We start from the raw sequence: 13,364 nt of genomic DNA on the forward strand, positions 1-13,364 counted from the left end.
CTCATGCATATCCACAGATTGGGTATGGGAATTTGAAGCAGGCTGGGGTGCTGGGGGAAGCCATAGTCTATGGTGCAGACACACTTAGTAAGTAGAGCAAAACCAGAGACAGTGGTTTTCAGGGATACTTTATTGACATGAACAAGGAGTTTACTGAAAAACAGCACATACAGGCATTACGTTGTTGAGGGCTTAGGTGGTCAGGAACATTTCCAGAGTTTGGATTGTGTTCGATGGCAGTTCACAAGCCTGCAAGCACTCGGCCTTCAGCGGCCTCCGTCTCCATCACACACACTGCTCAGCAGAGGCAGCTCTTGCCAAGCCGTGACGCAGGGAGGAAGCACAGAGCATTGCTGGCTCTGAGGGTCAGCTGGCCTGGGATGGAGACCGAGTTTGATATATAAATCAGACTTGCTTGGAAGTGCTTATCTCCTGCGTCCTGCTGCAAACTCAACTAAGGGGGAGGAAGTGGGCTGAACTAATCATGAGCTGTCCACCAGCTGAGATTTTAGAGATTAAGTAAGGTTTGGATGATGCTGCTTTTCAGACCTGTGACTGCATGGCACACTAAAGGTCTAGGCTAGAGCTTGACAGAGTGGGTGCAAAAAGATGTTAGTAGAATGAGTGGATGATCAGACTGGCAAGCACACCAAGCACTATTCAGATACATTTGCAGTGACTAGGTGAATTCACTGAATTAGGGATTTTTCATTTACAAAATGAGGTGAGAGGAAGGCTTCTTTTGTTTTTGTTTTTCATTTTTTTCTTTTTTCATTTTCATGTTAAACTGGGAAAGGGGAAACTAAGATATATTCTGAAGTGTGTCTAGCTCTTGCTTCTCTTTCTTCCTGCAAAGATGCAGTGACACAGCCTTTTCCCTCAGATTTATGTGAGGAGGACTCACAGATTCTGAGATGGATGGAATTTCTTTTTTGATCCAATAATTTTGGGGAGAGAGGAGGGAGTTGCTGTCTCCTACTTCCCAGCACATTCCTGCTTTGAAAAGTAACTTTCCTAGTAATATTTCTAGTTGGACATCTAAGGAGAAACCTGCAACTCAGAAGGAAGTCTGGGTGTGTGGGTGTCTGGGAATGGAGAAACTAAAAGGTCATGCCGTTAAACAAGTGGTGAGAATAAAGGCTGGGGTAGGGACAGGCAGGGAGTGTTTGGGTTGGGGCTCTGATTCAAGACCGAGGTGACAGTGAAGGTCAGCAGGGCAAGGTGCTCTCAGGGCCAACTGGATTGAGCAATCACATTCATGGCTGTGAAGTAGTAAGAATGGGAAAATCAGATTGAGCCAAGCTTGGCCTTTAGTGAATTGTGTTATTGAGGATCAGACATGGGAAATATCCAGCACCAAGACAACAGATGGGGTTTCTAAAGTGATATTAATAGCCCTTGAGAACTCTTCTAAGCCCTTTAATAAGCAACATCATGCCAGATAAAGCTTCCAGAGAAACAGACATCTAGTCTGGGTCTTTCGTAGGATTATGGGAAGAGACAGGGAGGTGGGTGGAGATTGGAAGTAGGCTGGTGATCACAGTACCTTATTGATTTACAGTCATTATCAAATCTCCCAGGAAGGAGTTTAATTGCAATTCAGGAGAAATAATGATGTACAAACCAACTAGAAAGAGAACCAAAATAGGACTGACTCTCAAAGCACATTGCTAGCATCCACCAAAAAGCAAAGTGGTAGAGAAGCAGTGAGTGGGATTAGGGGTGAGAGAAGATGGAGAACATTAGGACAGGCAAGATAGGCAATGGTTAGATGGAAGCTAAAAAATAAGAAAAGGAAGCAGCTATGGTCTAAGTGGAAAGAGAACTGAAAGAGGAGTCAGAAGACCTGGATTCTTGCTGTCTACCTACCAGCTAGGTTTCCTTATAATTTAGTAAAGCTACTTAACCTCAGAGACCCTCAGTTTCTTCTTTTGTAATGTGACCTCACAGGACCAGTTATAGAGAAGAAATAAAATAGTTAAGTGAAAATACTTCGTAAACCATATAGTTCTAATGAAAGTGTCAAGAATGAGAAGAATGGAGAAGTTAGAAAAAGGAAGAGTGGGGAAGATAACCTGTCAAGGATAAATAAGTGATAGATACCATTCAGCTTCATTAAAAGCCACGCAAGCAGCATCTGAGTTGGGTTTTTTTAAAAAGAAGAGAAAAAGGCAATCATGCATACTGCCGGGTTCAACTTAGATACACGAGCTATTGGGCCACCGAGGAAAACGGTGTGGTAGTAAGCATCTTGCTACTACCGCAAGCTGGTGGCATCCATGAGCTATGGGACTGGAAAAATTTCACACTGAGGCCAATTTTTCTAACTATAAAGTTAAAAAGGTCTATATCCTCTCCCTTATTTCAGAGGGATTGTGTGGAAAATTACCAATAAGAAGAGTCTTGAATTTATTGCAAATATTTTCTTCAACAAAATCAGACTCTTTAATGTGTTAACGGTCTGGTTTTGGGCCAGGCACAGTTGCTCAGGCCTGTAATCCCAGCACTTTGAGAGGCTGAGGCTGGCAGATTGCTTGAGCCCAGGAGTTCAAGATCAGCCTGGGCGACATGGCAAGACCCCTGTCTCTACATAAAATACAAAAATTAGCCAGGCATGGTGGTGCATGCCTGTAGTCCCAGTTACCTGGGGGCTGAGGTGGGAGGATTGCTTAAACCTGGGGCAGTTGAGGCTGCAGTGAGCTGAGATTGCACCACTGCACTCTAGCCTGGGAGACAGAGTGAGAATCTGTCTCAAAAAAATAATAATAAATAAATAAAAATTTAAAAGTCTGGTTTTAAGTACTTTCCTAGGGATGGAAGAATGAAAAAAATGAGCTTTTAAGGTAAAGCCCTAAACCTATGGAATATGGTCTTTCCCTATAAAGGGAGGTCCCAGGTCTGAGGGACCTCTCTCTCGCTGAATCCCAGTCACCTTCATCTTCTTACATTCCATAAAGCATCTTTCCCCTCTCTTGTCCCTGGGTGCTGAAGGATGTCACACTTGGACCTGTCACTTAATTAAAATGAAACACGAGATATTGACTAAAGTTTTTTCCAGTTTCTCTGCTCCCTCAAAATCTAGGGGAAAAAAATCTGAAAATTATGCATTCATAGGCGAAGTATTTGGAAAGCACCTACCCATCCCTCCCCTCTCACACTGCTCATTTACTTATGATCCATCTCAGACTAAACATTTTTCTTAGTTTAAATATCAGTCTCAGATGCACTCTCCTTTTGGAGGATATTTCAGAGTCACAGATCTTTACATAAAGGAAGTTCTTTAAGTCTACCTCATGTTCTTCTCCCTGCTTTTTTGGCCAATTTCTAGTCATCTGAATCTATCAGAGTTGACCTCAGCCCAGTCCGTGCTTGTGAAAGAAGCATTGCCATAGACAAGTTCAATGTCAGTCTTTTCAGAAACAAAGTTATCCACCGGGCGCAGTGCCTCACGCCTGTAATCTCAGCACTTTGGGAGGCTGAGGTGGGTGGGTCATTTGAGGTCAGGAGTTCAAGACTAGCCTGGCCAACATAGTCAAACCCTGTCTGTACTAAAAATACAAAATTTAGCCAGGCGTGGTGGTGCACACCTGTAATCCCAGCTACTGGAGAGGCCGAGGCATGAGAATTGCTTGAACCCAAGAGGCAGAGGTTGCAGTGAGCCGAGATCACACCACTGCACTCTAGCCTAGGTGACAGAGTGAGACTCCATCTCAAACAAAAAAAACAAAAAACAAAACAAACAAAAACATCCATCCCAGGAAGTGTAAACTGGGCAGCACCTAAGGCTTATTTCTGCTCCAGTTTATCCTCTTAAGCCTCTTATTCAGTTGAGCCCTGTATGAGTCTTAGTTGCCTCCTGTATGTAAAATGAGGAATAATACTGGTGCACAGAAATTTTGAGAGGAAGAACTCAGGAATTTCAGTCCTAATGCCCAGGTGGTGTGCCCACAGGGAGGGCACACATACATTATCGCAATAGGATCAGGAACGTGTCCAGAAACATGTTGCATGACTTTTTAAGAGCCACTTAAATTACCATTGGTCCTTCCCAAGTCTCCTGTCCTTGTCTTCTTGGAGGGAACCTTAGAGACCCATCAGGATCTAGCTCTGGAGTACTAAGCTCCAGAGAGCATGTTAGTCCATGCTTCAGGATCTTTCTGTCACTGGAGAACCTAGACAGGCGTGCTTCACTCTGATGCTGTAGCAAAGTGGGCCATGAACCTGACAAAACTGACTTCAGGGAATCCAAGTTCATGACACACTTTTGCTTTAACCCGAACTAATCACTCCTGCTTCCTTCTATTAAGACTTCCATTCTCTTGCAGTAATGGAGAATGAACCAGTTCCAGCCAGTTAAGGGCAGAGGGAGGTGCTAACTCCAGCACTTGTACAAAGTCATTTGGAGCACAGGGGAGAAATCCAGTTGGCTTTGGAGTGTCTTGTTGGAAAACTAGGAGAGGGTGAGGTTGAGTCTATGTAGAAATGTTGGCTTCTCAGTTCTGGCAGAGTCTTATGGTGCGTAGAGGTCTGATGGAGTTAGGGAGTCAGAGGTGAAAGCTCAGAGGCAGGTGGATGTATGGATGAATGAATGAACAGAACAATGGATGCATGAAGGGAAGCGATGGGGCCCTTGGGGCGCCCTCCTGATGCCATTGACATTGCTGAACATGGGATGTCCAGTCCCTCAGGTGTTCAGGCCACCTACCAAAGATAAAATAACTCACTGAGAATTTCCCACCCAGTCCAGCCCAGCCCAGCCCAAAAATTCTTTGACCAAAGAAGGGAGTTGGAGAATCCTGTGCCTCTGTTACCATGGGCAAGTTCAGATTGCCTCGACACTCAGGTCAAAGCAGTTCACCTTCCGAAGCGCTGACATCATACAGAGCTTTCTGACTTAAAGAATTACCCTGAGGGCGGGGACCCCAGGCAGGGTAGACAGTGACCTAAGGGACCAAATTTAAAGTCACTTCAGTTGTGGGCAACAAAGTCACTTGTACAACCTGCCATCCACATCTGCCTTCCCCTCCCATGTTCCTGTAGGTCACCTCATGTCACACTGCTCCTGTTCTATTCCTCCACTGGTACCGCAGAGTTCTCCTTGTTCTCAGATGGGATGGCAAGGTAGTCAGACCTATAGAGGACACAGGGAAAGGGAATCAGAGCTTCAGTGCCCAGCGTGGGAACACAAGATGGGGAAGGAGCAGGGCACAGGAGCAAGGATCTACAGAACAGCTCTGCATTTCCTTCTGCTGTGTTTCTCAAGAGAAAAACAACCTTTTCTGCAGATTAAAATAATCATTTCCCCCATATATGTACACGAACACCCACCAGGAGTGTATAGCTTCTCATTTATCCAGGTTGTCTTCAGCATTTAGTTAGATTATTATGTTGGCCAAGGCTCATGCCTCTAATCCCAGCACTTTGGGAGGCCAAGGCAGGAAAATTGCTTGAGCCCAGGAGTTCAAGACCAGCCTGGGCAACATGGTGAAACCCTGTCTCTACAAAAAATACAAAAAACTAGCCTGGCATGGTGGCACGTGCCTGTAGTCCCAGCTACTTGGGAGGCTGAGGTGGGAGGATCACCTGAGCCTGGGAGGTCGAGGCCATGATTGCACCACTGCACTCCAGCCTGGCAACAGTGAGACCATGTCTCAAAAATAAAATAAAATGTTGGTCAAAATGACAGCTGTGAAATTATATTTTATAGTTGTTTCACATGTTTACAGGCTATTTGGGTTTCTGCTTCTGAAATTTGTTCATCTGCTTTCCAGTTCTTCTGAGATCTTTGTCTTTTTCTCATTGATTTTCCTTTGATGCTTTCATGTTTTGACAATTTCTCCCAATCTCTTGTTTGTCTAGGAATTTTGCTTATGGAGTCTTCTAATGAACAGCTGATTCTTTACATATAATGTGATCAAAATTATTTTTCCTCTTGGATTTGTGCCTTTTGTATTTTATTTGGGAAATCCTCTCTATTGCATGGTGATAAAGAGAGTCTCTTATATTCCCTTAATGGAATTTTCAAGTTTGACATTTTACTTTGTGTTTAAATCCCCTCATAATTTATTTTGGTTTAGTATGAGAGATGGGGAATCTAATTTTGTTTTGTGTTTTTCTTTGTTTCTATATAGATTAGGAATTTTCCCTAGACCACTTACTGGGCAGTTCATTCTTCCTTCAATCACTGTAACGTCATCTCTCTCACATATCAGGTTTTCCTACATGCATTAACCTGATTGGTGGCTTTTTGTTTTGTTTGTCCATTTCGTATGCCTGTGCAGTATCACAAACTCTGTATTCTGATAGCTCTGTAAGAAACCTTCATCTGGCTGGGCGCAGTGGCTCACACCTGTAATCCCAGCACTTTGAGAGGCCAAGGCGGGTGCATCACGAGGTCAGGAGATTGAGACCATCCTGGCTAACATGGTGAAATCCCGTCTCTACTAAAAAAATACAAAAAATTAGCCAGGCGTGGTGGCAGGTGCCTGTAGTCCCAGCTACTCGGGAGGCTGAGGCAGGAGAATGGCGTGAACCTGGGAGGCAGAGCTTGGAGTGAGCCGAGATCGCGCCACTGCACTCCAGCCTGGGCAACAGAGCGAGACTCTGTCTCAAAAAAAAAAAAAGAAAACAAAGGAAACCTTCATCTCCGATAAGACAAATCCTACCAACCTCTTGCAAATTTACTGCTCTTTCTTTGAAATGGTTTAGACCGAGGGTGGGCAAACTGTGGCCTAAGAGCTAAGGATGGTTGTTTGCAAACAAATAGAAGAACAATACATGACAGGGACCTATGGCGCCTGCAAAGCCTAAAACACTTATTATCTGGCTGTCCCTTGGTTAAGACTATTTTTGGCTACTTAGCCTTCCATGTGACTTAATATCAGCTTATTAAGTTCTTTGAGAAATCTAATGGGCATTTTGATTGGGATTTCATTGAATTTGAAGATCAATTTGGGAGAAAATTGTTTACAATTGTGAGGTTTTACTCTCCATCTAGTTACGTTTAAAGTCTTTCAGTAAAGGTTTCTAACTTTTTCTTTAAATGTCTTGTATATTTTTGTCAAATTTATCCCCGGAACTGGGGAGTACTTCTTGCTATTGTAACTTTAAAAGCATTTTAATATTTTAAATATTTAAATTTGTTACTAAATTTGTTGCTGGAATATAGGTGATTTTTATATTTTGATTTCTATCAACAATTTTGTGGAATATTCTTCCTTGTCCTAATAGTATTTTTGTAGATTCTCTTAGGTATCCTATGTAAATAGTAGGTATAGATAATGATAATTTAGTTTCTTCCTTTCCAAGTCTTTTTCTTCCTTGTATTTACTTGGTCTTCACCTAGGATTTCCAACACAATATTGATAGAAACAGGGAGAGGCAGTCTCCTTGATATGTCCCTGATATTACAGGCACTTGAGGTTTCAACACATAGATGATATTTGCTGTAGGGTCTCTTAGTAGCTGCCATTTATCACTTTAAAGATGCTTGGTGTTTAGGTGTAGATGTATTTTATTCATCCTGCTCAGGGCATATTATGCTTCTTGAATCTGAAGAGTCATCCCTCCCTCAGCCGTTCTGTCTCTGAACACTGTCTCTCCTCCATTCTCTGTTCTATTCTGTTTTTTTTTTTTTGAGATGGAGTCTCGCTCTGTCGCCGAGGCTGGAGGGCAGTGCCGTGATCTCGGCTCACTGCAAGCTCCGCCTCCCAGGTTCACGCCATTCTCCTGCCTCAGCCTCCTGAGTAGCTGGGACTACAGGCACCCGCCACCATGCCCGGCTAATTTTTTGTAGTTTTAGTAGAGACAGGGTTTCACCATGTTAACCAGGATGTCTCGATCTCCTGACCTCATGATCTGCCTGCCTCGACCTCCCAAAGTGCTGGGATTACAGACGAGAGCCACCGCGCCCGGCCAAAATGATGCTTTCTTTATCAAACATTTCTAACTGGTAATAGCCTAGACTGTTTTCGGTTTGCCTCAGCAATGTTGCTAGAAATCTGTGGGTTTTTTCTATCTTTCCTTTCCCCAGACAACCAGCCAGCATGATCTCTTAAGACTCTTTGTTCTTACAGACCCCACCGTTTCTCAAATGTGCTCACCCTCAAGTGACTAGAGTCTCTGAGCAAATGGCTAAGGTACAGGCTGGACTTTAGAGGATTAGAGTCCCCACTCTGGACATCTAAGCGCTGCCAGGCTCTAGGGGAAATAACATGTTGCTTGGAGCTCCTTTGCTAGCAAAGGGCAGTGCCCAGATGGCCTGAGGAGCTCCATGGTATAAAGCAAACAGTTCAATGAGATAGAAAGAGCATGGACATTAGCACTAGAGAGACCTGGGTTCAAATCTCAGCCTTTCCTCTTACCATCTGTGTGCCTTGGTAAGCTGCTATGAGTCGGCTTGGCATTTACAGAACGGTTATAATAATGTTACTTTTTTGTTGTGTTTTTGGGCTTTTATTGTTGTTGTTTTTGAAATGGAGTCTCGCTCTGTCACCCAAGCTGGAGAGCAGTGGCACGATCTCAGCTCACTGCAACCTCCGCCTCCCAGGTTCAAGGGATTCTCCTGCCTCAGCCTCCCGAGTAGCTGGGATTACAGGTATGTGCCACCATGCCCAGCTAATTTTTTATACTTTTAGTAGAGACGGGATTTCACCATGTTGGTCAGACTGGTCTTGAACTCCTGACCTCAGGTGATCCTCCCGCCTCAGCCTCCCAAAGTGCTGAGATTACAGGCGTGACAGCCATCATGCCCAGCCATAATAATATTACTTTAACGGGTTGTGGTAGCAGCTGATGGTCTTTGCCTTAGTGGTTAAGTGTGCTGGCCAAGAATCAACAGGCCTGAATTCAAACATCACTTTGTTTCCTAAGTGATGTTTGAATTAAGCAAATGTTTAATTTTTCGTAATGAATTAAGAGTTTGCCTTAAGCCAACTCTCCGAAATTCAGTGTTCTCATCTGTAAAATGGGTATAATAATGGTGCCTATCTCTTAAGCAGTGATCATGAAGAGGGTGGAGGATGAATGTAAACTGCTTAGCACCTCACCTGTGAGAGCAAGCATTCTGAAGGTGCTAGCTTTCATTATTACTTTGGCATCTCTGGACTTACGCGTTTTCTTGGGCTGCCTCTTCGGCTTTTGAGACCTTTCTGTAGCAATATATCATCTCGATGAGCAGCCACAAGGTGAGGAAGACCAGAAGGATGTACATCATGATTTCTGAGACCACAGAGGTGAAGTCCTCTCCAGCTGAAAGAAAGAGAATGAGGTTCAGAATATGCAAATCCAGCAAACCTAGAGCCGTCATTGGAGCCATATTTTTAAGTACAGCTTAAATAAAGACTGAGTAAAGAAACTCAAGAAGATGTCAAAGGTATTCCAAATCCTGACTCTCCCGCCCATTGGCTTTCTCACTGACTGTCATCAGCTGCTCAGGAGCCAGGGAAGAGGGAGTGGGATGCCTGGAAGAAGTAGCCGAGCAGTGGAAGGAATCCTGGCCTCAAAGTGAGATATCTAGAGCTGGCTGTCCATTTTGCTATTTACAGGTGTGTAAACAACCATTTCCCTTACTTGAGACTCAGTTTCTTAATTTGTAGGTTGAGGATAATAACACCAGTCAGGGGTTTGTGAATATTACATTATCTAATGTATTTCAGAACATCTTGTGAGATTAAAAGTCTACACAGATGTAAGGAACATGCCTTATTTCAACTGCCTCTGTCTTTTGAGCTGCCGGTGGTGGAGGGTGGTATTCCTGGGGAGAGAGCGTTGGAAAACTCATTCAGGGCCAACAAAGACAGCCTCCATGAGATATGCGCATGTTCTCTACAAGTCTGGGTTAGAAACAAGACCTTCCAGGTCATCCAAAACCAAACATAAATATTGGAGGATTTAGTGTATCAACCGCATTGTCCCCAGGGCTGTACTTTTGAAACACAGTTAGGATCCTGCCATTTCCCTGCTGAAAACTCTTCAATGCTCCACACTCCCCTTAGGATGAAGCCCCAACTCTGTTCACGTGACATGCAAGGGCCTTCACAATCCGGGCTTTCTCACCTCATTTCCATTTGGTTGGCCAGAAAAACTTCTGCTACACACTGTGGTATGTTAGAATCTGTGAACTTTTCTTCCTCTTCCCTCTTCCTGAATTGTGTCTTTCACCCACGGCTAGTTCTGTGCTAATATCCTCTCCTGCTTTGCAGTCTCGCAGTAGTTCTAGATTCCTGTGAGGTCCCCTCCTTTGTGAAACCATCCCCAACTTCTCATGCGGAGCTATTCACAACCTTCTCCGTGCACTTTTCTTTTCTCTTTTTTTTTTGAGATGGAGCTTTGCTCTTGTTGCCCAGGTTGCAGTGCAGTGGCATGATCTCGGCTCACTGCAATCTCCGCCTCCCAGGTTCAAGCGATTCTCCTGCCTCAGTCTCCCAAGTAGCTGACATTACAGGCACCCACCACCATGCCCAGCTAATTTTTTATACTTTTAGTAGAGACGGAGTTTCACCATGTTGGCCAGGCTGGTCTCGAACTCCTCACCTCAGGTGATCCTCCTGCCCTGGCCTCCCAACGTGCTGGGATTACAGGCGTGAGCCACCGCGTCTGGCCTCCATGCACTTTTCTCATCCATCTGTTATAAGAGTTGTATTGTGCTTATCTTTCTTTTCTGTGGACTGTGTGCTTATTGAGAACATATTTATTTCTGGATTATCTGCCTGCTGTATAAATCTTAGAATATTTAAAGTGCTCAATAAGTACTTATTGAATGAGTGAAAATAAATATTATCTTATTTGTTTCATGATCAACAAAAAGGACCATTAAAACATACTACATGGCAGATATCCTGATATATCTACTCCTTGCTAGTGGGAGAAATGTTGTAGCCACCTCTCCCCTTGCCAGCTCTCAACAGCAAGTCAGATTTATGATCTGCAGTTATCCATTGGATCTAAGTCATCCCCAAGTCCTTGGTTGTTAAGAGCACAGCACAGCCTGCCATAACTTTCAGCCCAGAGAGCAGTCCGAAGGCTCCAGGATCACCCAGGTTTCCAACTGGAGCTAGAGGTCATAGATGCAGCGTGAGGCACATGAGAATGCCGTACAGCTCAAACATCTCACCGCCTTGCTACCACCTCGTGCATTATTTATGATTTGTTTGGCTTAAAGCATGCTCTCTCTTTCAAAATGCAGTAGCCCACAAATGGCAATACAGGAAGCTGTCCTCAGTATTTTTAGTTACCTCTAGGTGAAGAGGCCTCAGGTTTCTGCCTTAGGGCCAGGAGGTGACAGCCAAAGCCAGAATAAACCCAACTTGAACAAAGAGAACCAGGGAGACCTTGTGGGACCACAGGAATGGAGGAGATGTGGGGTTGATGGGCAGGTGTCATGGTGGGGTGGGTGCGTAGCTCTGAGCAAGATGAGGGCAGGGAGTATCTGATGTCACAGAGGCAAAAAAGAAAAAGTGGCAGGGGGTTGGGGTGGTGGGGGTGGGGAAAGAAACAGTGGAAAGCAAGCCCTCCAGACAGGCGAACAATCTGGATTTTCACCCTGCTTCCAGCGCGAATTTGCTGCACGTCCCTGAGCAAGCCCCTTGCTCTTGCAGAGAACTCTGTTCTCCCAGCCACAAAAAGAGGGGCACCAGAGCTACACCCTCCAATCACCTGGGGAGTCATCAACTTGCATATGACCTCACTCACCCCTGCCGATCTCACACCTGCAAGGGTGCTGCAGAGGTGTCTACATCTGGAGGACGCCAATGTGGGCGATTCTGATGTCTGCCCTTTATCCAGAGGCCCTGGATTAAATAAATGATATCCACGCTTCCTTCACACCCGACCATCCACGAGGCTCTGTGGCTCTGATAATAAACTTGTTTTTCCTTCTGTTTTTACCCGAGGCTTGCTCTGGTACCTGGCAGACGAACTAGCTCAGCCTTGCCACACTTCCCACCAGCTATGCACGAGGGTGTCTGGAGGCAAAAGCCCGAGAGAGCAGAGGTGGAGACGGCTGAGCACTGTGCTAAGGTCTGGCGGGCACCAACCAAAAGTTCCAGATGGTGACCAGGAGAGGGCGCCAGGGCCCCACCCCCCAGAGGAAAGGCGTGTAACAAACGGGGGATAAAGGAACTTCAGAACAGGGGAGTACCTCAGAGAGCCCCCCGCCAACCCCTTCATTTCACACCAGAGGAGCGGGGCTCCGAGCAGGGAAGTGACTCATCAGGTCTGGATTCAGGAGCCCTGAGAGTCCCTCTGCACTTTCAGAATTGACCTACCTTCCATTTTAGTCATATCGTCTGATCCGTTATGTCTCTTTCTCCTTTGTTCATTCACTCTGAGGACTGAATCTCCGCTTCATTATTTTTATCACAACGACATGATAAAAAATGAATAAACCTGTGGCCTGGAGGTTGGGATTCCTGGATCCTTTTTTCTAGGAAGAGCCCTGTCTTTAACTTGATCTTTTCCTTCATGCCCCACACTTTGGCCTGCTCACTAGCAGTGATAATGCTGGAGATAGACTGAGAAAGGCTGGAACTCCCCCCTCAGGATGCAGGACTCCGGTTGCAACAGAAACACCTGAGTTAGGCTGCTGAAAGGCCTTCCCACTCACGAACACGGAACTAGCTGTAGGAGTCCAAAGATTTTAAACAAGACTAGAGAGCTATCAACCTGTCCCCTTCTCCCAGCAGGGAATGAATTTATGTAATAAGAGATGCCACAGATGGGGAAGAGGTTGCACGTGTGATTACTGTGAAGAAAGACAAAAGAAAAAAAGATTGTCAAACTTTGGTTTAGAGAGAGGTTCTCAAGGTGTGGTCCCAGCAGCAGCACTGCCCGCCAGGCAGTGTGTCACGCAGTGCAAACTCTCAGGCTCCACCGACAAAAGCAGAAAGGCTGGCTTCCAAAAAGCCCTGCAGGAGATTTTGAGGTTTGCTAAAGTTTGAGAACCCCTGGCTTAGAGGCATGTATTGCTTACAGGTAGAAGGAGAGATGACTTCCGGGTAACCTCATGAGATTTCTCTGAGCCCACTGAGTCAGGGATTCAACATAGGCCAAAGAAGAAGGCCTAGCTGAATCAGTAGCTTTAGGCCTCATGGAGGCTAGCCTCTTTCTCTAAGGGACCAGGAAGAGCTCATTCTATCATCTCCAAGCCTTTCTGCTTTGAGGAAAGGCACAGAAAGACAAGCTGCTTAGGGAATTTACAGGAAGCTGGCCACCAGAAGAAGATGGGTCAATGGTGACATTTTTAGATGTCACCATTCCAAATACATGGGTTTTTGCACTCTTTAAGGGCCTCACTCGTGGAAAACTGCTGTCCTACCCTTCCCTGTCCACAGAGAGCAGGACGCCCTAGAGACCCTGTGCCTCAG

At 45.1% G+C, this 13,364-nt stretch overlaps 1 protein-coding gene and 1 long non-coding RNA gene across 4 annotated transcripts in view; one reads left to right on the forward strand and one right to left on the reverse strand.

Annotated features, from left to right (window-relative positions):
- SCN3B (sodium voltage-gated channel beta subunit 3) overlaps positions 113-13,364 on the reverse strand; it is a 25,437-nt gene continuing 12,185 nt past the window's right edge. For 2 of the 3 annotated variants that reach the window (NM_001040151.2, NM_018400.4), the window contains 3 exons: positions 9,111-9,249; positions 5,046-5,131; positions 113-4,701 (listed from right to left, as the gene is read on the reverse strand). In NM_001040151.2, the coding sequence (NP_001035241.1) occupies positions 5,068-5,131; positions 9,111-9,249 (203 nt within the window). In that variant the 3' untranslated portion in view covers positions 113-4,701; positions 5,046-5,067. The remainder of the gene's footprint in view (positions 4,702-5,045; positions 5,132-9,110; positions 9,250-13,364) is intronic. The other variant, XM_011542897.3, reaches the window with a different exon arrangement.
- On the forward strand, positions 9,464-12,399 carry LOC124902777 (uncharacterized). The gene is made up of 2 exons (XR_007062929.1): positions 9,464-9,545; positions 11,892-12,399. It is a non-coding gene; the product is annotated as an uncharacterized LOC124902777 (long non-coding RNA).

This window comes from Homo sapiens, chromosome 11 (genome assembly GCF_000001405.40).
Source record: "Homo sapiens chromosome 11, GRCh38.p14 Primary Assembly".
Lineage (NCBI taxonomy): Eukaryota > Metazoa > Chordata > Mammalia > Primates > Hominidae > Homo > Homo sapiens.